The sequence below is a fragment of the Homo sapiens genome, chromosome 4, assembly GCF_000001405.40.
Source record: "Homo sapiens chromosome 4, GRCh38.p14 Primary Assembly".
NCBI lineage: Eukaryota > Metazoa > Chordata > Mammalia > Primates > Hominidae > Homo > Homo sapiens.
The window spans coordinates 10,356,526-10,382,888 of NC_000004.12; the positions used below are offsets into that span (position 1 = coordinate 10,356,526).

At 42.4% G+C, this 26,363-nt stretch overlaps 1 long non-coding RNA gene across 1 annotated transcript, besides 1 other annotated feature; it reads right to left on the reverse strand.

The window, feature by feature from the left end:
• Positions 1 to 407: 407 nt before the first annotated feature.
• LOC124900667 (uncharacterized) lies at positions 408 to 21,100 on the reverse strand. Its single transcript, XR_007058031.1, has 2 exons — positions 20,465 to 21,100; positions 408 to 2,948 (listed from the first exon to the last, which is right to left on the reverse strand). It is a non-coding gene; the product is annotated as an uncharacterized LOC124900667 (long non-coding RNA).
• Positions 15,390 to 15,613: a silencer, noted in NCBI's record as "fragment chr4:10373539-10373762 (GRCh37/hg19 assembly coordinates)". NCBI's record gives its function as "represses an EF-1alpha promoter that drives an FKBP-Casp9 reporter gene in an ReSE screen in K562 erythroleukemia cells {active_cell/tissue: K562}" and the evidence as "EXISTENCE:reporter gene assay evidence [ECO:0000049][PMID:32094911]".
• Positions 21,101 to 26,363: the final 5,263 nt, after the last annotated feature.

Below are 26,363 nucleotides of genomic sequence, written 5' to 3' on the forward strand. Positions count from 1 at the left end.
TATTTTAATTCTAGGTAAGGTTAAATCTTTCTCCCATGATCTGTATTTTCTGGTTCTGCAGTGAGAGTGTGTGTTTGAAGGTGGACTTTCCCCATTCACACTTTAGGCACTCAGTTTTTCAGTTGTCTCAGAGTTTGCAGTGAAGAGCCACTTCTTTCAAAGGGTCTGAATTCTTTTGGTTTTCCTGGTAGATTCTGCAGTAGTTCTTGGAGCAAAAGTTCATTATGTGAGTCTCCACACAGTTTTTTTAAATAAGATTTTTATATGCATCTTAGGCATTTTTAACCTATTTGTCACCTGTGCTTTTGCGTATACTTTTGGAGTACTTCAGAGAACTCATGTTCAAGAATGAAGTGATACCAAAAGCAATTGTTTCAATACTCCAAGAAATCAGGCAACCCAGTTAATCATTTAGGGAAGAATCAAAAGATATGTATTTTATTTTTTACAAGTTATGGGGGTACAGGTGGTGCTTGGTTTCATAAGTATTTTAGTTGTGATTTGTGAGATTTTGGTGCACCCATCACCCGAGCAGTATACACTGCACCATATTTGTAGTCTTTTATCCCTCGTCCCTCTTCCATTTTTCCCAAGTCCCCAGAGTCCATTGTATCATTCTTATGCCTTTGCAACCTCACAGGTTAGATCCACACACTGTTCTCTCAATCCAAGTGGGAGCTGCAAGTTAGGATCTTCAAATGTATGAGATTGAAGCTTCATAATTGAAGATGCTGTAATTAGAAACATTGCCATAGGAAGCTGTTTTGCATCATCAACCAAATCTTGCCCTGGTCATTGGCATGTCGCTATCTCTGAGGGGACATGGAGGCTTCCTTCAGTCGAAGGATTTTCCTCCTGGATCATACCCTGCTAAACTTGCAACTATTGAGAAAATGCAAATATCAACTTGATATATGGAAGAGCTTTAAACAAAAAGCGTGACTGACTATGGCTTTTAGTGTGCAGGTTAGGATATGGAATCCAAGGATAGAAGGAAAATCTTGCATGTGTTTAAAAGCCTGTGATCCTAGAGAGGTGTAAGTACTTGGGAAAGGCTAAGTTTAGACTATGTCTTTCCCCCTATAGAGCCTTAACTTTAAGTTTAGGAAACTCAGGATTAAGGAGGAATTGGCAGTGGTGTCCGGGGAGGGAGTGAGCAAGAATTACACAGTGCTGTGAGGAAGCTCAGCCCTCTGCATTGCACAAGATTTCTAATTTATTTCCCTTTGTATTTGTTTGCATTATAAGAGATGGGTAGGTAGCTTGTTCCTGATATGTGTGTAACTGGATACCTTCCTATTGTAGATCTTGACTTGAGTTTATAAAATATTACCAAGGACCTTCTATTAGATGGACCTGCAGCCTTGCAGGGTGTCCCTTGGGTGAAGAAATGAGTATGTGCAGCCCTATCTTGGAGTCCTCTCCTTAGTCTGAGGGACACATTTCAATGGCCTTACATTTCTCCATCCCTAGAACTGTATGGTTGGCACAGTCTGTCAGGGATGACCACTGTGCTGGGACTTGACAATTTGAAGATGGATGTTGTCTGTCTCTTCTTCACACGTTCTTACCACTAGCCTTTGATAATGGGCACTGCCAGGCATCTGAGCCACAATGAGTTTCTCTGGCTTTCCCCCGCATGACATTATGTAGCATACTGACCATGTGTGGTTATTTATAGATGTGTCCTCCATGAGGAAGTTCTACCTTAAAGCCTTGTTCAGTTGGTGAATCCCAGAATAGTGGGGGTAAGTTGGATATTGTCCTGAGACCTTGACAATCAACATGAATGAGGCTCTGTCTGCTTCTACCCTGAGCTTTGTTTCAAATCTCAAAACATGCCAATAGAATGCAGCCTCCTGCAAAAACCTGGAAAGCAGTATTTTTTGTCTGAAAGAATTTATAGTTCATTAGTATAAAGATAGAAACAAAGAGGCATTGGCCTGTGGTACTATTGGTGGGAGGTTTAAAATGATGAAAGCCTGTATATCCCATATCTGCTTTTTGTGCAAGGTTTGCCAAGTCATTTTTTAGGTATTAGCACAAATAACATTAGAATGTAGATTAAGGGAACAAAACTTAGACTCATATTAACTTGAATTAGACTATAACTTCAATTAGAGACTCTATGCTCCAACTTTTCTTCCTGATATGAGTAATTTGGCATTTTGATATTGGTCATTTGTGGTAATGAAAGAATAGTAGAGAGTTACATTGAACTATGAAATGTAACTTGTATATCTTAGTTTGGGTTCCCTGAACTTAGAATCTGAGCTCTATGCTTGGGTGTGTAACATTTTGGAAGTGGTATCAGGAAACCAGTAGCATGGAACAGTGAAAGATGGGGTGGGGATAGCAGCCTGGAGATGGGCAGAGCGTTGAGCAGGTCACTTCTGGGCTGTGTGTGGCTGAGTCCCGCTGGGAAAACTTACAGGAAATATTTCAAAATCACCTGAGAATGTGCTTCCTAGGAAACGGTTTATTCTGGGATCCACTCAAACTCTGATAAACCCATAGGTTGAGGTTATTCTTCTCTCTGAAAAGCTGAGTTTCCTTTAGTGCCTTAGGCTGAACTGTCCCAGTATAATTGACAGAAAGCTCTAGGACAGTAACCAAGTGATCACGGGAAAGGGTCTTGGTCAGGTGGGGCTGCAGGCATGGTTCTGTCCTCCCCAGCTATGCTGAAAACATCAGGTTGGCAGATGTTGAGCTCCGAGTCTCTGCCACGCATGCCCACTTTCCAGAAGATTCCCAATGTTCCTGGAGACTCATTTTCACTGGAAAGGGATGGCCTCAGTCCTACTGCAGTAGTCATGTCCAAAGAGTTCCATAGCTGAAAACCATGAAACATCCATTATCTTGTGATGGTCTTTAGCTCCTTTCAGCCCTGTGGATTCTAATGAAGGCTGCTCTGGGAGGTGATGTCTTCTCCTTTGAAGCAGACACACCTAGATCAGAGGGAAGAATGAAATTTGTTTGATACCATGGTCCTGCTGCATTCGTTGCAAAGCCTAGCCCTTGGTTAAGCCTGTTTTAGAAACTAATGCCCAAATAAGGTGAGGGATTCCAAGGCTACTTTCTTTTCACTTTGTTGGCAGGTATCCATGGGTTGTATGTGATCCTCATCCTGCAAACTCCTCATGGTCATAGCCAGGACATCCTTTAACTTGTCTGCATGATGCTCTTGTTCCCTATATGTCGCAAGTGGGCCCTTCCCATTGGAGTATTTGAGGTGATCCATGTGAAGTTGTTGTATTCCGAGTGTTGTAAAAGATACTTTGATTTCACTCCAGACATATCCACAGGCTGACGTTCATGAGCAATGCTTGAGCCTGGACTCTCATCTCAAGATTCATACATCTGGGCTCTCTCATCTTTAGCTCTTCAATATGCTATGGGATAATCTGCTGGGATAGTCTTCAAGTTGGGACTTCCGATCAGTTTTGACAGAGGTAGAACCTTCAGCTGACAGCCTTCTTTGACCTGTTGATTTATTTCTTTGGTTGTGGTTGCTCTGAGAATGAGAACACATAGGTGTTTGAACCACATGTAAAGGGCATGGAAGGCGGCTGAGGCCAAATGTCTGAAGTCCTGACTACCCCCTACCCCCTGCTCTGATGGGCCCCTTGGAATGGGGTATTAGATTGAAATGCAAACATTCTGTCCCTTTTACTTGATCTTTTCTTTGACTATAGAAGCAGTAGAAACACACATAGTTAGGAAAGCAGTACTTTGTATAACCAGTGTTATACCTGATCTTCTCCCCTGAATTCTGTGTCGATTCTCTGGTCTGCCCCTGGGTTCCTCCCAGATTCAGTCAAAGCCTTCATGGAGCCCATCCCCCTGGAGGCTGCTACATACTCCCCACCCCCAACAGAGCATGTGCACACCAGCTGGGTGGTCGCTATGTTCCTGTAAGCACTGAGCGAGCCCTGTACCCAGCCCACCCTCTGGCCTTCCAATTGCATCAGGACTTGGCAAAGTACCTGTTCATGAACAGCTGAAAACCAAACCCTTCCTTTACGACTAGATGAGAGACAGCTGCCTTGTTAGTAGGGCTGGTCCACTGGCCCAATCCTTTTTGAGACCCTGCTTTTATCTGGGTATTGAAGACTAAGGAGTCCTTAGGAAATGCAGTTTTCCTCCTCCTACCTCTTAGACCACAGGAAGACATACCTCCCTGATGCCTGGGAAGTGAAGTTTCCTCAGTATTAACTATGCAACTTGTATCCTCATGGAATTCCTTCTCCTTTTGTCTCTTCCCCTTGGATTGTTCAGCAGGTCATGGACTTTCTTGAGTCACTTGTTCACCAGCAAGTAATTCCTCATGGTGGCAGATTTAAATCCCCTGGCAGTTTCTCAAGTCAGTGATAGGTGGCAGAACCTTAAACTCACCTAGAGGAGGTGAAGGGCTAAATGCAGAACACTTGGCGCTGGAGGATTCTGCTTCTCTCTTTTGGTGCCTTTCGTAACAAGTAAATGTTGTCCCAGAAAATCTAGAGACAGCGTTGATTATGGTGGCAATAGTACCACCACCACTGGGCAGAAAGGGCTCAGCTGTCTCCCATCAAAGGGATGGGTTTCTCATATCATTCCCATCCCCTGGTGTTGCTAGTGCTGGGCTTGCCAGGCCCCTGGGATGCAAGTATGAGCCAGGGTTCTCTTCTGTGATGTGGAAACAGCTGCTGGTCTTGATTTCCAAGACCCTTTCACATTTGTGTCACTTTTCTGTGAAGTGCTTCAAAAAGCCTGAAATGCAGATACCATGAAAAGAGATTGGAGAAAGTTCAGAGCTCTTTGAGACAAAGCTTAGTGTAGTGGCTATTTGGTGACTTGGGAGCTATGCCGACCTACAGCTCATGAAAAGTGGGAGTCTTGTGCTCCACTGTAAGATGGGAGTCTCTAGGATGGAGAATTTGAGAATCCACTCATTTGTCTAAGTAAATCCATTTAGTTGATCGGACTGTCATTTTTAAAAATGTCTGGTTTGTATGTTTGGAATAATTTGTATATGGTTGGTATATTTCTACTTTGGTGGTAAAATCCAGTGTGAAAGTTATCTGGGCCCATAGAATACTTGGAGGGAAGATATTTTGTTGTCTTAGTTTCCTTCATAGAAAACTGAAAATATCCTATTACATATTTTAATCTACCTCAAGGCATTTGTGCCTATATGTTCAACACAATTTAAATGAGCATTGTCTGTAGTGTTTCTAAGTCTCAATGCTGGGATGCTAAGAAGATATGTGGCCTTTTTTGTTGCATTTATTTTATTCTGGATTAGGGTTTCTAGATATGGGATAGTTCTGAAGACTCCTACTTGAAATACAAGACAAGCAATGTGATTTATACTGTATTTCCCCTAAATGTTCAAACTTGAAACAAGAATTTTGGATGAGTACCATTTTTCTAAGATGCTGTGATAAGTGAACAATGAGTTAAAAACTTTTATAGTTCTAAAGAAGTAAGAAGTTTGAAATGGGATCACTTCGAGAAAAGGTGTTGGCAATTTTTTTTTTTGGTCGGGGGAGGGCTGCTGTACTGGACACTTTGCTCCCGCTTTTATTTTTTTTTTATTTTTATTTTTTGAGATGGAGTCTTGCTCTGTTGTCCAGTGCAGTGGCGCGATCTCAGCTCACTGCAAGCTCCGCCTCCCAGGTTCACACCATTCTCCTGCCTCAGCCTCCCGAGTAGCTGGGACTACAGGTGCCTGCTACCATGCCCAGCTAATTTTTTTGAATTTTTTTAGTGGAGATGGGGTTTCACCATGTTAGCCAGGATGGTCTCGATCTCCTGACCTCATGATCTGCCTGCCTCAGCCTCCCAAAGTGCTGGATTACAGGCGTAAGCTGCCGTGCCTGGCTGCTCCTTCTCTTTAGTCACCTTTAGAGACCCCTGCACTCCTTGACTTGTGGCTCTTTCTGCAACCTTTAGTGTGGGGACCCTCCTCAGCCTCAGAGATGGGGGACCGCAGAGTTAGCAATTGTTTTTGTTCATTTTCATGCTGCTGATAAACATACCCGAGACTGGGAAGAAAAAGAGGTTTAGTAGACTTACAGTTGCACTTGGCTAGGGAAGCCTCACAATCATAGCAGGAGACAAGGAGGAGCAAGTCATGTGTGTTACATGGATGGCAGTAGACAAAGAGAACTTGTTCAGGGAAAGAAAGTCCCCCTTACAAAACCATCAGATTGCATGAGACTATCATGAGAACAGCATGGGGAAGACTTGCCCCCATGATTCTATTACCTCCCACCAGGTACCACCCACAACACCCGGGAATTCAAGATGAGATTCAGTGGCAACATAGCCAAACCATATCAGCAGTACACCTTAATCTTTTTCTCACCTCTGATGCTCCCTCCCTCTCTCACTTTCTTTTCCGACAGTGATCCCTGGACCATCCACGGTAACTTTTGTGTACCCTGAAGTCAGCTGATTATCAACCTCAATTCCATGTGTTGCCCTCATTTTCCCCTTGTCATGTAGTATACCAAGTTCATGGGTTCTAAGGATTAGAATGTTAGAGGACCATTAATCTGCCTGCTTTATTGGTTTTTAATTTGGAAGTTGTCCCAGGAAACCCAGAGGAGGAAAGTGAACAGGAGGTGGGGTGGAGAGAAGAGTCACTGGGTTGTTCGGATTGAGCTGGTCACTTTACAGAGCTGACCAGGGCTCAGTCCTGATGGGAACCCTTGAGCAGAATGAATAATACGTCTTAGAAAATTCCTCCTGGGAACAAGTCTGTTTTTACCCACCAATTCTATTTCCACTGTCCTTGAATTTTCTCCAAGACCTCACTTCCCCTGCACTGCTGAGATTTGCCTCTGAAAATAAGCAGGCCCCTCTGCAGGTGGAAGGTGTGGTGTAAGGATCCCAGTCATTCTAGAACAATGTTCAACAGGCTGGGTCTCCCCATCAGCAGAAGATGGTTGGACTGAGCACCTACTGAAGCCAGGATCTCTCTACTTCATCTTCCTGTGACAGGCACTTTTCTTCCTCTCCTGGAATGAAATTGTTTTCACACCCCTGTATCTCAGTCAGCCTTGTCCCTTGTCTGCCTCCTGCAATGTCTGTTTCTATTAAGTACCTAAGAGTTTTTAAAAAACACTGAGAAAAATAGAGCTGAACATACTTTATATTCAAAGGAGGATTTGTCTTTTAAATCTCATGCTTTTTTTTCTTCCACAAATATAGGTGGAAATGTATGCTTAAAGAGCTAAAACTTCATCTACCTCCCATGTCAAATCACATATCATATGCTGTTTTCATAACAGATGTAGAAGAAATTTTCAACACTTAGTCCTTCATTGCGATGTAATGCAGGATGTAGGGTTAGATTCCCACTTGGGGGAATATAGTACATCACACATTGCTTTCTTTGCTACTTAATCTATGTCCTGTAGGGATAAACAGGATCTAAACTACCTAAACATTGAGTATTGTTCAGGTGTACTTCTACCCTGTTCTTGAGCTTCTAAGAACGGTCAGCATCTCGTTTGAAATTGAGTGATTAATGCTTTTTTGGTGGGAAGAACTTTTCCCCTCCAACGTGGTATTTCTGCTCCCTTGAAATGGCAGTGACTCTGGCCAAAAGAACTCTGGCTCCCAAGTCAAATGCATAGGGTTGAATGAAGAAGGAAGAATGAGCTGGTGTGCACCCCTTCTTTCTTGCAGTCCCTGGTGGGAATAACCCAGGTGCCTGGATTCCCCCCCCCCCCCCCCCATACTAGGTGCTGCATTCCCCATGGAAGCTGCTGGCTAACGTGATTGGTTTTAACTGTGCTAACTTCTGTATGTGGCTTTTTACTTCAATTACCTCATCCTGTCCACACAGCCTAGGTTGTCCTTTGATCGCTGTCAGATACAGCTGTTCTGTGGGTGCATGATGGTAATTATCAAAGGAGTATTTGCAGTGCTCTTGGTGAGGTTTCTCACCACCTAACTGCTCTGCTCCATTTTATCCACAGGGAGGTTCCACTGGATGTGGATGGCATGGGCAGTATTGACTGAGCCTGGATCAGTGCAGTCTTTCCTCTCAGGATCCCACATCCAAGGCTCCAATCTGGTGTTCAGGCTTCTCTGCCATGAGCTCCCTTTGCTGTGGTGAAAGTAGAGGTTGAGGGCCCTGTGGCGTTCATGCTATAAGACTGACCATCCCAAGGCCCTCAGTGTTTTCCTCCACCTCTCAATGACCTTCAGTTGAGCACCAGACACATCTGCTTGTGGTCTTCAGAGTCTGTCATCTTTATGGGCCAGCTCTGATTTTCTTTTGTGGGATGAGCTGGTTGAAGGTAACATATTTGGCTAGCTCACAGGACTCCTTCATGTTTTCTGTGATACAGAATCAAGGTCTGTAGAAGCCTGGCCTCAGGATAGTCACACAGGTGACTGTGACAGGTGTGGCAGGTCAGTTCCATCCTTTATGACTGGGCAGTTCCTCTTGTGATGCCTTTGGGAAAAGTGGATGAGATCCACCTTGATCCTGTTCTGCCTGAAAGTCTTAATCCCATAGCCCTAACTCTTTAAAGTCCTGCCTAAAAGAGAAAATAAGTTATTCTTTCAGGTATCTGAATGTTGGGAGTGGCATAAAATGTATTAAATTTGACTACATCAGTAATACAACACTGTATGTTCCAGGCCTATTTGTTAGTGCTCGCAAAAGCCAATGATTAGGAAGTCCTGAATTCTCAATGTAATCAAGGTCATAGTCTATGTTCCAATTCACAATATTTTATACTGATGGAAATAATTGTTTCCTATATACATAATGCATGGAACTGTTATCTATTGTTCCTTGTGATTTTGATAAATCATACAGTTGGATGAGCTGTCTGGGCACAGCAGGGTCCGTAGGTTTGAACCTCACGAAGAGTGCTCTGAACCCAAATGCCTGGAAGTCCTATTCTTCTCTCTCCTTACACTTTGGGCCCAAGGAGGAGGGCAATGTTTGAATGATTGAAGTAAATAAGTTCTGTTTCCTTGTCTTCATTTTAGCCTTTGTACTTTCCTCTGATCATCAGGAAATCTACCTGTTCTCTTCAGCTCTGTTCTAGAATTTATCCTACCTATTTTTAAACAGTAGTATTTGGCTTAATATTTTTCTGTTATGACTTCATGTTGCTTTGTTTGCTTAATGCTTGCTCTTCTTTGAGGATGTCAACTCTATATGCCAACTTCTTGATCTTATTTTCATAATTCATTAAAGTTTTCTTAAAATGTTTGTCCCCTTTAAATTACTCATCTCTTTATCCTGTAGTTCTGGTAGTGGCTACAAAACCTGTCTGTATGTATTGGTGAGGAGGCTCTTTCAGGAAAGGTTTCTGTTCTGTAATTGAGGCGGCATTCATCAGGATGGAGGGTCTATAACCTACATCTGTGTTTCCTACAAAGTTGTAACATTTCAGGTGTCGTTCCCAAAACTTCCCTAGCAAAATCTGAGTGGTGTAAGTTTGGGCCTGAATGTCCCCTGTAGTTTATATCTGGATGCCTTTGGCACCAATAAAAACATGACTGTGGCCCAGGCAAGGGAAGGTTTTCATCATGGGGCAACGTTGTGCTGAATTCTGATACTTTTCTAGTTCCACGATGTCGTACGGCTGCAGTTAACCCTTAGGTCAGAACTGGATCCAATGGTGTTTGCTGGGTGGGAGAGATGGCTATTGGTCTTCCAGGCCTGAGATTTGGTCACTTTTTTCCCCCAAAGAAATTGACATACAGAGTTGATAACCTCCAAGACGGGGGAGCAGACATTAAGCAAACGAAGCAACAATACAAAGTCATAACACAGATGACATGATGAATTTGTCTTAGTCCACTTGTGAACTGAGACAAGTACCCTTGGTCAGCAGAGGGTTCAGCAAGCATGAGACCCTTCATCTTTTACACTGACAAACTTCCCTGTGAAGCTCCAGGAGCTTCGTTGCCAGCTGGGAAGTCTGAGGATTTGGTGTCTTAATTCCTCTGGCTGTAAAGCTGGTTCAAGCTGTGTACTTACTGAGTCGTCTTGGTCCTCAGGAATGAATCCAAGTGATTCCAGAGTGGCCTGTGTTAACCACTCCTATTAAAGAGGTGAGGTCAGTTCAATCTTGACAGTTTTTCAGAGGCTGATATCATGTTGCCAATCATTTCTGTGGGAACAGATTTCTGAATTTGTGCCTGCTTCTTTGGATGTATTGTATATTCCAGATATTTCTTCCTTCCTTAGAAAACAAAGCTATAAGCCTGTTTGATTCAGGCTGTACTCAAATGATTGGTGGTAAAATATGCCCAGACTTGATTATGACAGCCTAGCACTAAAGACTACTCCAGGTAAGGTGCTTGCAGTTGTATTTTTTGTTATCTTTGCTGGCATCTCATTAGTCATTCAATACTTGGGGCAGGCTCAACTACTTTCCCTTCTAGTTTTCTTCCTTCATTAGACCTGTCTCTTGCTTTTTGATCCTAGTGCTAGTGAATGGTCACCTTGATGTTGAGATGCATTCAGAATGGAACTTAGTTCTTTCTTGGTATGAGGTAGAGCAAGTATTGTAGTAGAAAAAGGAAGGTTGTGGCTGCCTGAGTCTATTCTCTGAAAGCTTTCAGTGTAAAACAAGTCTTCTGTCTAAAGCTGGTATGCAATGGGGGCTTGGGTCCCTTCAGCAAGTTATGAGAACAAGCTCATTCCCACTTACTATGCATCATCAATAACCCACATTCCTAGAAGGGTCTCCTGAAACACTCGTGGTCAGGGAGTGCTGTTCAATACTGGGTCAATGGAGGTCTCAGATTGTGAAAAAAAATCCAGGTTTGGAAGACACTCAATAAACTGTCACTTAAAGAGAAAATATCAGAGTGGGCGCGGTGGCTTATGCTTGTAATTCTAGCACTTTTGGAGGCTGAGGCAGGTGGATCCCTGAAGGTCAGGAGTTTGAGAGCAACCTGGCCAACATGGTGAAACCCTGTCTCTTTAAATACAAAAATTAGTTGGGCATAGTGGCATGCACCTGTAATCCTAGCTACTCAGGTGGCTGAGGCAGGAGAATTGCTTGAACCTGGGAGGCAGAGGCTGCAGTGAGCCGAGATCATGCCACTGCACTCCAGCCTGGACAACAGAGTGAGACTCTATCTCAAAAAAAAAAAAAAAGAAAGAAACAAAAAGATCAGAGATAGCCTTTTTGCCCAAAACACACATTCCTGAAAATCCCCATTAAACAGGAGTCTGTGGGAGCAGGTCTGGGTTGGCCTCTGCGGGAACATAGTGTTTCCTCCAGGCACAGGGCATCTGAGGACCTACTGCTCAGGTGACATGGGTGTGTTGGAATCAGTGAGATGTCACCTTGTTTCAGATCATTCCATGGACCCACTGATGGGACCTTAGAGTTTAAACTGTGTATACATTACCTGCCATGCCATTGGTTATTAGTCCCCAACTACATACATCTCTTAAGTTTCCTATGTGGTTCATGCTCTAAAAAGAACTTTAGTGGAATATAACACCCCTTTGGGTGCTCCACTATCTCACACTACCACTTTAAATTGTCAAAGGAGCACTTCCCCGGAGGCTTAACCACTCATGCAAGGACCAGTTAGCACTACTGATAAATTACATTTTTCCTTGTGTGGATTTAGCTTTCTTTCCTTGCCTCTTTTTACTCTACCTGCTAATTATCATTGAAAGTTCCTTGGTAACATAACTACAGCCTTAAAAGTGCCCTCCACTAATACTCTATGGAGAATTTTGTGCTTTTGAGGTTAATGGTTTGCTGCTGCTTGGAATTCTTTGCAGGTCAACTGTGTTGATTAGAGTGATCTGAGGGATGTCACTGAGGTGGGATGTCAGCTTATGGTGGTTATTCCCCATTTTGCATGAATATCATGTCTTGTCAATGAGAGAATAAGTTGTCTTTGCAGAAGAATAAGAAGAAATTGATTTCCTTTTTCATATGAAGACAATAATATACTAAGGTAGGAATGAGGGTTATGTGCCTCCTACCCCAAAAATCTTAGAAATGTGTCGTTCCCTTCCAGGTTGGACATCCTGGTCCATTAGCTTGAGTTGCTGTATCTGCCCTGGGCAGGCTGATCCAGGAGTAGATGGTGATGGTAGCTGGCCTGAGGAGGGGCTGCAAACTTCTAAAAAAATATAGGTTCCTTTGATCCTACAGGAGCTGAAGTCCTCAGGATTCATCTGGAATAAAGTGATTTCTGTGCTAACTCCCAATTAGTTGGGTACATCACTGCCCTTTCTGTTCTGGGGTATGGAGGTATTAGCTTGAGTAACAACTGACCTTTAGGATCTTGTTCCTTTGGTTCTGCTATGTGTGACTGGTCAACTTGATAGTGTGTAACATTCAGAATGAAAAACGGGTACTGTTGTCCCTTTATATGTGGGGTCTATTTTCAGGACCCTCTGCAGATGCTCAAATTCCTTACACAAAATAGCTTAGTGTTTGCATACTATAACCTATGCACATAATCCTGTGTCTTTAATCTCTAGATTACTTATGATACCAATTGCCATGTACATGTGATATAAATGGTTGTTACACTGTATTTATGGAATAGTGACAAAGTCTAAAGTGCTTACATATCCCATAGATAGGCAACCATGCTAGCTGAAAGTATGTAGTATACATCAGCAGTAATGTAACATCCTTCAAAACTCTAGCTGTTTTTATGGAGTTACCTGAGAGTGTGTTAACACTCCCCAAAACACTGGTTCTTCTCTCCAAGTAACCTTTTTGTGATGATCCTTGCTGTATGGTGCCTACAGTGCTCACAGTGAGGTGACAAGATGTGTGTTACTGTACAAAAGCAATGAGACATCAGCCTAAATTGAACCTTCTAACAGGACACGAGAAAAATCACCTATGTCAGAAGACCCAGGTTGGGGTTGCGGACGTCGATGTTGTCGTTGGAGATTCCATAATACTTAATGTGAAGATAGGAGGAGGAGGGCAGAGCATCTTCAAGTACTGACTGTTGAGGCTTCACAAATGCTGAGACTGTCGTTAGAAATGTGGTTATGGGAAGCTGTTTCTCTTCCTTGCAACATCACAGAAATCCTTCCGTGCTTATAAGTACATTCTTCCTCAGATGACAGAGGCTTCCCTCCACTGAAGGATGGTGCTCAAGAATCATACCTTCTAACTCATGTGCCTGTTGAAAACATACTGTAAATATCAATGTGATTATTTTGCAATGCTCCAAATAGAAAGTGCAAGGTGTGGTCTTGAATGCACAGGTTGGGACCTGAAATCAAACAGGTAAGAAGTAAATGTTGATGTGTTTCCAAACCTGTGATCTAGAGAGGTAAGTTTGAAGAGGAGGTGGGAATGGCTAAGTTTAGACTAGGTCTGTCTTGTCCATATCTTTGACGTGAAGCTTCAGGAAAGTCATGGGTATGGAGAAACTGGCAACAGTGTCCAGGGAGTGAGTGAGGCTTTCTATGTTCCTGTGTTGAAGTTCAACCCACTGTATTCCAGAGGCTTTCTAATACTCTCTACCTCCTCTTTGTGTGTTTCCTAAGGGTAAGGATGGAGCTTGTTTCTGATCCATGTGTGACCAGATCTATTCTACCTACTTTGGACCTTGCCTTCAATTTATAAAACCCTGTGTTAACAAGGACTTTACTACTCTAAGTCTTGTGGAGTCTTCTTGGTAAATGAATGGGGGTATGTAGACCTATCTTGGGGTCGTACCTGGACTCTGAAGGATACAGTTCAGTCTTTGAGTTTCAACAGCCCCAGTCCTGTGTTTCTAACAGTCTTCCAGGTATGAAATACCATCAAGGGATAACCACTGCCCTGGAACATAAATGCTGGGAGAAGGACACTGCCTGCTCCTCCTCCATAGCTCCTTGTTCATGGTTGACATTTGGTACTGGGCACTACCCCCATATCTGCTGAGACAGTGAATTTCTCTATATTGTCCCCTCATGTAGCATATTGGTCACATCGGCCTGTTTTCACAGCTGTGTTTTCAGTGAGTTTGATTCTTTAGGCCATGTTCAGATGGTTTTCAAAATGTAGTTGTCTTGAGGAATGCCTTGAGAACTTGGCCATCATCATGAGTGAGGCTTTTTCTACCCCTATCCTGAGCTTTCCTTCAATGGGAATATATTTCAATGTAAATGCAGTGTTCTGCAGGAATTTCGGTATGGTTTCTTTCATAGTATTTTATAGTCAGGATGGGGCCACAGGCATGATGCTGACCTCAGCAGCTGTGTTGATTGTTGTGATCTGTGGGATGTCACTGAACTTCCCAGACTCTGCTTCACCTGCCCACACATGGCAGAATAAAGAATTCCATGGCTCCTGAGGTTTTTAAATAGCAGGAATGGGACAGGATTAGTCCTTCTGCAGTGTGTTGGAGTGATATGGGGAATGTCACTGAACCACCCAACCTCTGATTCACCTGCCCACACGTGGCAGAAATAAAGAATTCTATGGCTCCTGGGGCTCTTAAACATCAGGAACCGGGACAGGATTAGTTCTTCTGCAGCAGGACTGTTCATGTTCCATAGCTGAAGATTCTTCCTTCCATCATCTTGTGATGGCCTCTACCTTCTTCACCCGTGTGGATTCTAGTGAATACTGTCCTGGGAAGTGATATATTCTCCTTTAGAACAGCCAGGACTGAATGAAATGGAAGAGAAATGTGTTTGACATGGTCCTGCTGCATCCATTGCAATAAATCCTTGGTTAAGGTGGTTCTAGAAACTGATGGGACAATGTGAGCGATTCCAAAGCTATTTTGCTTTTGCTTTGCCGGCAGGTATGTATGGGTTTCCTGTGATCCTCATTCTCCCACCCAGTCATGACCACAGCCTGGAACTTGCTTTAATGTGTCTGCCTGATACTGTTGCACCTTAGGTGTTGTAAGGAATCCTTCCCTGGGTATTCGAGGTAGCCTATGTGAGGTTCTCAGCCCTAGATATTGTGGTCGAGACTTCAGCTCTAATTTATCTAGACACGTGCACAGAATATTGTCACATGGGCAGTGTTTATTTTGAGCCTCATTTCTTAGATCACTGAGTGTCAATATTGAGCCCACATTTACACACACGACCTCTGTTCTCTGGCTCTTCAATAAGCTGCCATGAAATTAACTCCCAAGTGGTGTTTTCAAGGCACACAGATTTAGTATTTAAAGTGGTGGAACTTTCAGATGACAGCTTTTAAGAAATCTGTTTCCCACCCTGCTGTTGGTTTTGGTTGCTTTGAGAATGAGGATGTTGCAGAATTTTTTTCCTTAGTTCAGCTAAAACTAGGTTCTTTTTACATGACCAGGAAAATTTAGGCATGCAGACACACTGAAGGGTGAATAGGGCAAGATTTTATTGGGTGAAAAAGGAAAAAAAGAAAACTCAGCAAAGCGAGATGGAGTCCTGCTAACAGGTCCCCTGCCCCCACCCCACAGGACACACCACAGGAACTGCAGAGGCCAGGCTCCTCCCTCTGCCTGTGGCTCCACCCCAGTCCCCCAGTGCGCATGTGGGCAGGCTCAGACAAGGCCCTGGGCAGGTTCCCTCATCTGCACAAGAGCATCTGATGTAAACACTTGTGGGGCAGGTCAGAGATTTGCCAGGGACCCCTTAGTATCTACCTAAGCATTTGGTTGTCTCAAAGACACATGGGTGTCTGAGCCACAAGTAAAGGGCAAGGAGGTGACCCTGATTCGAAATGCCTGAGGGCTTGACCTTTAACCCTGCTCTGAGAGGCCTTTGGGAACAGGGTGTCTGAGTGAATGACATGTTAATTTCTTTCCCATTTGTTTACCTTGCTATTTTTTCCATTACGGAGGCAGTAAGAATGTCAGGGATTAGTACAGTGGTTTTTATCATTCATGTTATAGGCATTCCTATCTCTGAATACTCTGTGGCTTGGAGATTCTCTGGCCCACACAGCTGCAATTCTGACTCTGTGGTTCATGTTTCCATAAGATCACCCTTCAGTTTCATCAGATGAGAGCTCTCACAGTGTCTAATTTATGCCTCTGCTGTTGGGGTGAGGAACTTATATCCAGATTGAATTGTTGATCTTATCCAACATACTAAGGGGATTTTGACATAAACAAGTATTCTCTTCTTGATGTAAAGTTATAACAATAAGATGAATGTTAAGGCACCCTACAGAATGGGCAAAAATTTTTGCAATCTACTCATCTGACAAAGGGCTAATATCCAGAATCTACAAAGAACTTAAACAAATTTACAAGAAAAAAATCAAACAACCCCATCAAAAAGTGGGCAAAGGATATCAACAGACACTTCTCAAAAGAAGACATTTACGCAGCCAACAGACACATGAAAAAATGCTCATCACCGCCCATCAGAGAAATGCAAATCAAAACCACAATGAGATACCATCTCACACCAGTTAGAATGGCCATCATTAAAAAGTCAGGAAACAACAGGTGCTGGAGAGGATGTGGAGAAATAGGAACACTTATACTCTGTTGGAGGGACTGTAAACTAGTTCAACCATTGTGGAAGTCATTGTGGTGATTCCTCAGGGATCTAGAACTAGAAATACCATTTGACCCAGCCATCCCATTACTTGGGTATATACCCAAGGGATTATAAATGATGCTGTTTAAAGATACATGCACACGTATGTTTATTGCAGCACTATTCATAATAGCAAAGACTTGGAACCAACCCAAACGTCCAACAACGATAGACTGGATTAAGAAAATGTGGCACATATACACCATGGAATACTATGCAGCCATAAAAAATGAGTTCATGTCCTTTGTAGGGACATGGATGAAGCTGGAAACCATCATTCTCAGCAAACTATCACAAGGACAAAAAACCAAACACCGCATGTTCTCACTCATAGGTGGGAATTGAACAATGACAACACATGGACACAGGAAGGGGAACATCACACATGGAAGCCTTTTGTGGGGTGGGGGGAGGGATAGCATTAGGAAATATACCTAATGTAAATGACAAGTTAATGGGTGCAGCACACCAACATGGCACAAGTATACATATGTAACCTGCATGTTGTGCACATGTACTCTAGAGCTTAAAGTATAATAGATGAATGTTAAAATATTATGTCCATTCAATATCCTGTCTATTCAAGAACCAGAGGTAATACATGTTGGGTTTTCATAAGGGCCAGGTGAGGCCTGGGGCTAAAAGGCTGCTGGAGTCCCCTAAGGGGTCCTGATGAGTTTCCCAGCATCCAGTGAGCAGCTCTGCAGTGACAGGTGCTTCCTCATGTTTCATCCTGAACATTCTCCTTCAAACTACTTCATCTCTGCAGGATAATTCCACAGCCTCAAGCCAGGAAACTCCTCAGCAGCCCAGTTCCAGTGACTGAGTCCACTTTGAAGACACCTTGTTGTGGGCTGCCCATACTGTGAGGCCTGTACCCAACCAGCCCACTGGCCTTCAGTTCCATCAGGACTGGAAGCACCTGCACACAGAGCTGAAAAGCAAACCTTTTTTATGACTGGACGTGAACATGTGCCGTGATAGCTATGGTAAGGCTGGTATGCTGACCCTGATTAATGTGCCTGAGCCCTGTGTACAGGGGCTTATAGGGTTGAGAAGCACTAATGGACTAATATTTTCTATTTCCACCTCAAAGACCCCAGCCAGTTAGGAAAATACTCCTCCCCAATGCCTGGGAACTGATGTTAATTATGCAACCTACACTCACATGGAGCTCTGCCCGGATTCTTTCTCTTCCCTTGGACAGTTAAACAGAATAGACTCTGCAGAGTCAGCTTACCCTTAATGTATCAGGTAGCTGCTTGTGGTGACTGAAATCTGCTCTGGCAGTTTCTCAAGTCCATGGTAGGTAGAGCTCCTTAGAAACTCACCCAGAGGAGGTGAAGGAGTAAACGCAAAGTACATGGTGCTGGAAGCTTGTCATTCTCTTTGATGCCTTTGGTACAAAGTGAATGCTGCCCGAGAAAACTGAGGGGTATTGCTGATTATGGTCACAACCACACCTTCTCTGGGCAGGAAGGCTCGATAGTATTTAAGAATGAGGATTCTGAAATAATTCCCATCATCACCGGTGGGAGTGTTGGGCCTGCCAAGCTCCTAGGGGTCACAACTGTGAACCTTCCAACATTTGTACTTTGTGTTAATATATATATATTTTTAAGCAAGTGTGACTCTAAGAGCCTGAGAGATTCACAGCTGTTGGTGACGAAGAGCTTGCTGTAGCGGGTGATTGGTGAGAAATGGTCTTCCTCTTGGGAGCTGTGCAGATTGACTGCTGATAAATAGCAGCAATCTCGTGCTCCACTGTGAAAGAGGAGCTTCTCTAGGATGGAGAATTTGAGAATGCGCTGGGTTGTCTAAGTCAATCCACTTAGTTGATTGGGAAGAGTGTCATTTGGAAAAATGTGTTTTTAAAATATTGTTTGGAATAATTAGCATACAATTGGTGTATTTCTCCTTTAGTTGGTGGCAGAATCCAGGAGGAAGATATTTCATGGTCTATTTCATTTCCTTCATAGGAAATCTATTTTGTTTCTTTCATAGGAAATCTATTTTTTCTTTATGTATCAGTCTATATTAAGGCAGTTGTGCCTATGTATTTGACACTTAAATGTGTACAAATGTGTCCATAATATGACTCGCACATGTCTGCACTGGGATGCTAAGAGGATATGTGGGGATTTTTATTGTATTTTTCTTCTCACTTAGTGTTTCCAGGTAAAGTTATGAGGACTTTTGTTAGTAATACAAGGTTAAGAACACCTTATTGTGGACAACCCTGAATGTTGAACTTAGACTTTCAATTTTCAAACAGGTAGGTTCTTTATTTCCTATCGTGCCATCATGAATAAGTATTGAGTTAGGGGCATAAAATTAATTTTCTTAATTAAAGAGGTTAGCAAATTGGAAATGGGGTCACTTGGAGAAAACGAACGTTGTTGGCAAGGTGGTGTTTCCTTCTGGCTGCTCTATGAATTGATTTGTTCCCTCTCTTTACCCAGTTTTAGAGACCCTTGCATTCCTTGCCTCATGGCTCTGTATGTATCTTTCAGTGTGGAGACCTTGTTCGATGTCAGTGAGAGGCAGGACTCCCTTTGGCTACAGAATCGGCTCATGTTAATCTGATTGTCATCTCCATTTCCCCTTCCCTGTTCTTTTTTCTCTTTAATCACTTTTCTGACAGTGGTCTCCCTGGACAATCCAGGATAAGGATGATATTTTATATTGATTGTAACAAATTATTTTCTAAATATGCAATGAAGAGAACTGTTTACTGCCATTTCTTATAGTGATTTGGATAACTGCGACAGTTTCATGGGCTATCTGAGCAGGGCAGGGTCTATAGGTGTTCAAACTCCACGTCCAGGGTCATGGAGGGTGCCATGAACCCAAATGCCTGAATGTCCCTACCTGTACTTCACAGGGCCAGGAGGAGGGGCTTGTTGCAATGATCAAAGCAAATACATTCTGTTCTCTCGTCCTCCTTATTTTAGCCTTTTGATTTTTCTCTGGTCATCAGGAAATCTCCCTGTGGTCTTCAGCCATATTCTTTATAGCATTCATTTCACATATTTTTATGTAGTATTTTTTGGCTAAATATTTGTCTTACATTATTTGCCTAATGCCTGCTCCCATAACTTTGAGGATATGAACTCTATATACATCAGTCTCTTGATTTAAATTAACACTTTTGATTGAGTAAGATTTTGTTAAAGTTACTCTAAGTGGCTAGTCTCTTTGTCCTTTGGGTTCTTGTAGTGAATATAAAACATGTCCATATGTATTAAACAGGCTCTTTCTGGAAATGTTTCCGTTGTTTACTTGGTGGGGATGTTCAGGATTGAAGGTCATAATGTATATCTATTTCCTCCCAAGTTCTGATGTCTTTGGTGCTGCTCCTGAAAATTTCCCACAGGAATTTGAATACTAGAAGGTTAGAGGTGGAGGTATGTTGTAGCTTATCTCTGGATTCCTTTGGAATGAATAAAAATTGTTGCAGACAGGTGCGGGATGGTCATCATCATGGGCAATATTGTGCCTTCTTGCTGAGTATCTAGGGCCCATCTAGGAGGCCTGGAGTGAAATTCCAAAACCTTTATAGTTGCATGGTGCCACGCTGCTACAGTTCACTGATGCTTAGCTAAACACTGTAAGCCAGTGGCACTTTCTGGGTGGAAGAGGCAGCTATTGATAATGCTTTCCAGCCATTAGCTTTGGTTTTGCTTTTTCTTGGAAAGCTTTCCTGATGGCATCAGGTCAGAGGTTGTAGGAGATGGTAATAAGAGGAAAATAAACAACTCCAGGTCTTCTCATAATGAATTGCTTTCTTAGCCACCCTGCAGCTCGCAAACGGACTGACTGAAGGAAGCTCAAGAAGACATAGAACCCCTCATCCTTCACACTGAGAAGCAGGCTTCCGAAACACACGGAGCTCCCTGGCCAGCCGGGAAGTCTGGGGATGTGGGCATCTTATTCTGGCAGTAAAGCTAAGAATTCAGGGTGTGTACTTACAATCTTCATGGTCCTCACGGATGAGCCCATATGACTCCAGGGTGCTCTGTGTGGTACTTTCTAGTAAACTGCTTGTAGTCTTTTTATGTTGGTCTTTGCTGCTATCTCATTAGTCATGCAACAATTGGGGCATGTTTAACTTCCTTCACTTTGGGTTTTCATCTTCATTACTTGTCTCAATCCTTGTTCCTATTGCTGGTGAATGGTTGTCTTGATGCTGTGACAAAGTGAAGATGAAACTTCGTTCTTTTTTGGTATAAGGGTGAAGAAAATCTTACAGTAAAAATGAACAGGAAGGTTGTAGCCATTCCATCTTGCTCTCTGAGCTCTGTATTTGAACAGAAGAGTCCTATTCTGTCTAAAACTGGGCATGGGTACTTCACTTCAGCAGCAAAGTAGAAGAGCAAGGAGCTCATTCCCAGTCCCTACACATCAATAAACCACATCTCCAGTAGGATCTCTTGAAACACTTGTGGTCTTGTGAGTGTTGTTCAATAACTGGCTCAAAAGAGGTCTCTTGGTTACTGTGGAAATTCTAAAACTGGGAAATTCTAAAACTGGGAAGACCCAGGTTTAGAAGACACTCTATATTGTGTGTCTCTTAAAGATAAAAAAAAACATCATAAAAGAGCCAGTTTGAATCTTTCCTCCCAAAACACACATTCCTGGAAATCCCAATTAGGAGTGTATTGTGGGACAAGATCTGCGGTAGTCTGGGACTATGTAGCTGGTTTCCCTGTTTCCTTCAGGAACACAGCATGTGAGAGTGCTAAGCACTACTCAGATGATGTAAGTTGGAAACAATTAGATGTCACCATGTTTTGAATCATCCCATGGTCCCGTAGATAGAGCCTTAGTTTACATTACCTGGCGTATGAAATTGGATGTTGGTCCTCAACTTGTTAGAACCCTTAAGTCTCATGTATGGTTCATGCATTAAAAGGGCGGCTGGGTACGGTGGCTTACGCCTGTAATCCCAGCACTTTGGGAGGCTGAGGTGGGTGGATCACCTGAGATCAGGAGTTACACACCAGCCTGACCAACATGGTGAAACCCATGTCTACTAAATACAAAAAAATTAGCTGGGCAATGATGGCGGGCTCCTGTAATCCCAGCTATTTGGGAGGCTGAGGCAGGAGAATCACTTGAATCTGGGAGGTAGAGGTTGCAGTGAGCTGAGATTGAGCCGTTGCACTCCAGCCTTCACAGCAAGAGCAAAACTCTATCTCCAAATAAAAATAAAAAGGGGTATAGTGGAATATAACACCCCCATTGGAGCTGAAGGGCATTTCATTGGAAACTTAAACATTGATCCAGTGGCTTTGGGAGGCCGAGGTGGGCAGATAACGAGGTCAGGAGATTGAGACCATCCTGGCTAACATGGTGAAACCCCGTCTCTACTAAAAATACAAACAAAAATTAGTTGGGCATGGTGGCGGGCACCTGTAGTCCCAGCTGCTCGGGAGGCTGAGGCAGGAGCATGGCGTGAACCTGGGAGGCGGAGCTTGCAGTGAGCCAAGATCATGCCACTGCACTCCAGCCTGGGTGACAGAGTGAGACTCTGTCTCAGGGGGGAAAAAAAAAATTTATCCAATGGCAAGTTAGCACTAATGATAAATGTCATTTTTCCTTGTTGTATGGATAAAGCTACCTTTCCTTACCTGTTTTTACACTACCTGCTAACTAGCATTGAAGGTATCCTTGGTGACCTTACTACAATCTTAAAAGGACCCTCCACTAAATATTATATGGAAAATTGCATGTTTTAATTTCCTGGTTAGTAGTCTGCTTGTTCTTGGAACTTTTCCTTAGTTGAGACAGATGACTAGTCTCACACCAGGTTAAAGTAGAGCTGCTCACAGATGTCACAAGGATCATCTACAGTGGAAGATCAAGGTTTTGATTGTAGATGTTTTAGCTGTGGTAGAGGCTCGTTAATACTAATGTCAAGATCTATGGATGTTGAGGGCTGGAGATCGTAAAGCTTTCCTAGTTGATGCTTCATAACTGCTGATGCTTTAGTCAGAAAAACAGTTACGGAAAAGTTTTCCTTTACATCAAATCTTGCAGTAGTGGTAGGCATGTTACCTGTAAAATGACACAGCCTTCTTTCCATGAAGGGATAGTACTCAAAGATCATACTCTTTAAAACTTACACCTGTCATGCAAACTGCAAATGTCAGCTGGATATTTTGAAATACTGCAAATGGAAAATGTGTGGTCTTGATTATCCAAGTGGGGACCTGGAATGATGTGACAGGAAATTCCTATATCGTTAAAAGCCTGTGCTTCAGAGAAGTATAATACAGAGGGGAAGAATTATATGGTTTGACCCTGTCCTCACCCAAATCTCATCTTGAATTGTAATAATCCCCATATATATATATATATGTATATGTATGTATGTATGTATATATGTGTATATGTGTGTATATATATGTGTGTGTATGTGTATGTGTGTGTATGTGTATGTGTGTGTATATATGTGTATATATGTATATATGTATGTGTATATATGTGTATATATGTGTATATATGTGTATATATGTATATCCTGAGATGATTCTGAAATATTTCCTGTCGGCATTCCCAGTAAGACTGAACCACAACAGCCTAGAGGCAAGCAGCCCAAGGCTCTGCATATATATATATATATATATATATATATACACACACACCCCCATATATTTATATATACACTCATATGTACACATGCGTGCACATACGTACACATACATACACATACGTACACATATACACACATACATACATATACACACATATACACACATACACACATATACATATATACACACATACATACACATATACATACACATACACATACACACATATACACACACACATGCACACACATACACATACACACACATACACACATACACACACACATATATACACATATATGCACATATATACACACATATACACATATATACACATACACACACACATATATACACACATACACACATGTACACATATATATACGTATATAATATATATACACATATACACATATATACACATACACATATATACACATATACACATATACACACACATACACACATATACACACACATATACACATATATACACACATGTACACACATGGGTACATACATATACATATACATATATATGTATATACATATATACATATACACATACACATATATACGTGTACACACATACATGTATACATACAAGTGTATATATACACATACATGTATATATATGCATGTGTGTGTATATGTATGTGTATGTATATATATACACACACACACACATATATATATATATTTGGTATTTAAGCATGTCCCAAGGATGCAGCTTATTTCTGTTGATGTGTGGCTAGATGTATTCCACTTCCTATGGATTTTGCCATTATTTTATAAAATCTGTTGTCCCAAAGACCCTTCTTCTGCTCTATTGTGTAGGTTTTACAACCTTATAGGGTTTTTCTTAGATGAAGGAATGGGTATGTGCAGACCTATTCTGGGTTCCTACCTCTATTTGGAACACATTTCAGTGTCTTAGCATTTCAAAGCCCCACTCCTGTGTTTCCAGCACAGTACGTCAGGGATGATACAACATCACAGTAGGCACTGCACAGGGGGCATAAAGGCTTGAAGGTGGACACTGCCTGTCTCTGCTTCGCAGCTCCTTGTTCACTGTTGCTCTGTGATACTGGACACTGTGTCTCTCTTGGGCCACAGTGACTTTCTCTCTTGACTCCTTGTGGTGTGGAATATTGGCTGTTTTTGGTTGTGTTCACAGGTATCTCCTTAGGGAGTTTGTTTCCACTTCAGTCCTTGTTCAGCTAGTGATTCTTAGAATAAGGAAGCTGAATTGGACAGTGTCTTGAGAACTTGAGTCATCATGAATGAGGCTGTGTCTGTGCTACCTTGAGCTTTGTTTCAAATCTGAAAGTGTTTCAATGGAATGCAGTTTTTCACAATAATTTAAAGATTGCTTATTTTTTGGTCTAGAAAAACAGGAAGTTTTTCTCGTGTAGAGGAAGCAAGGAGCCCTTGTCCATCTGTGCTTCTGGTGGGAGGTTGAAAATTAGAGAATCATTTTCTTCATAGTCAACATGTATATCCTATATCTACTTGTTGGAAAAGGTTTGCTCAGTTGTCTCTCAGGCATTAGCACAAATAACTGAGATTTAAATTGAACAACGCTCATAATTTTATCTTCAAATAGAGACTTTAAAATGTATGCCTCATTTTATATTCCTGACTTAGATAACTTGATACTTTCATATCAATCAAATGAGAGAATGCTTATTCTTTGTCCTAATTGAAGTATGGAAGAAAATGCTGACGTCTTAGTTTGAATTCACTAAACTCATAATCTGAGACCTGTGCTTGGAAGATTTGTTTTAAGAAGTGATCCTGGAGCCCCAGAGGATGGAGCAGTGAAAGCAGTGGAGATGGGCAGAGCGTTGGGCTGCTTGCCTCTAGGCTGTTGTGGTTCAGTCTTACCGGGAATGCTGACAGGAAATATTTCAGAATCATCTCAGGATGTGCCTCCTAGGAAACGGTGTTCTGGGATTCACTCTCAAACTGACAACCCATTGATCAAGGTTAATCTGCTCTCTGCACAGCTGAGATGGCCCTTAGTGCCTGAGGCTGAGCTGCCTTGGGATAATTTTGGGAAAGCCTTAGGACAATGACCTTGAAGTCATGGGAAAGGGTCCTGATGGGATGAGACAACAGGCATGGTGCTGTCTTCCACTGCTGTGCTCAGAAAAAGGGGGTCTAGAGGATAACACTGAGATTTCCAGTCTCTCACACTTGTCCATACTTCCCGGAGGGATCCCAATGTTCCTGGGTGATATGGTTTGGCTCTATGTCCCCATCCAAATCTCACCTTGAATTGCAATAATCCTCACATGTCAAGGGCAGAACCAGGTGGAGATGATTGTATCATGGGGTTGGTTTCCCCCATACTGTTCTCATGAAAGTTCTCATGAAATCTGATGGTGTTATAAGGGGTTTCGCCCTTTGGCTCTCATTCTTCTCTTGCCTGCCACCATGTAAGATGGGGTTTTTGTCTTCTGCCATGATTGTGAGGCCTCCCCAGCCATGTGGAACTCTGAGCCCATTAAACCTCTTTTAATTTGTAAATTACACAGTCTCGGGTGTGTCTTTATCAGCAGTGTGAAAACAGACTGATACAGTAAATTGGTACCAGCAGAGTGGGGTACTGCTATAAAGATACCCTAAAATGTGGAAGTGACTTTGGAACTGGGTAACAGGCAGAGGTTGGAACAGTTTGGAGGGCTCAGAAGGCAGGAAAATATGGGAAAGTTTAGAACCTCCTGAAAACTCAGATAGCTTTGACAAAAATGCTGACAATGAAATCTAGGCTGAGGTGGTTTCAGATGGAGATGAGGAACTTGTTGGGAACTGAAGTAAAGGTGACTCTTGCTATGTTTTAGCAAAGAAACTGGTAGCATTTTGCCGCTATCACAGAGATTTGTGGAACTTTGAACTTGAGGGAGATGATTTAGGGTATCCAGTGGAAGAAATTTCTAAGCAGCAAAGCATTCAACAGATGACTTTGGGTGCTATTAAAAGCATTCAGTTTTATAAGGGAAACACAGCATAAAAGTACAAAGAAACTTTGCAGCCTGATGCGATAGAAAAGAACCCATTTTCTAAGGAGAAATTCATGCTTAAATTTGTATAAGTAAAGAGCCAAATGTTAATCAGCAAGACAGTGGGGTAAATGTCTCCTGGGCATGTCAGAGGTCTTCACTGCAGCCTCTCACATCTCAGGCCTGGAGGTCGAGAAGGAAAAAACGGTTTCATGGGCCAGTCTCAGGGGACTCTTGCTGTGTGCAGCCTAAGGACTTGGTGCCCTG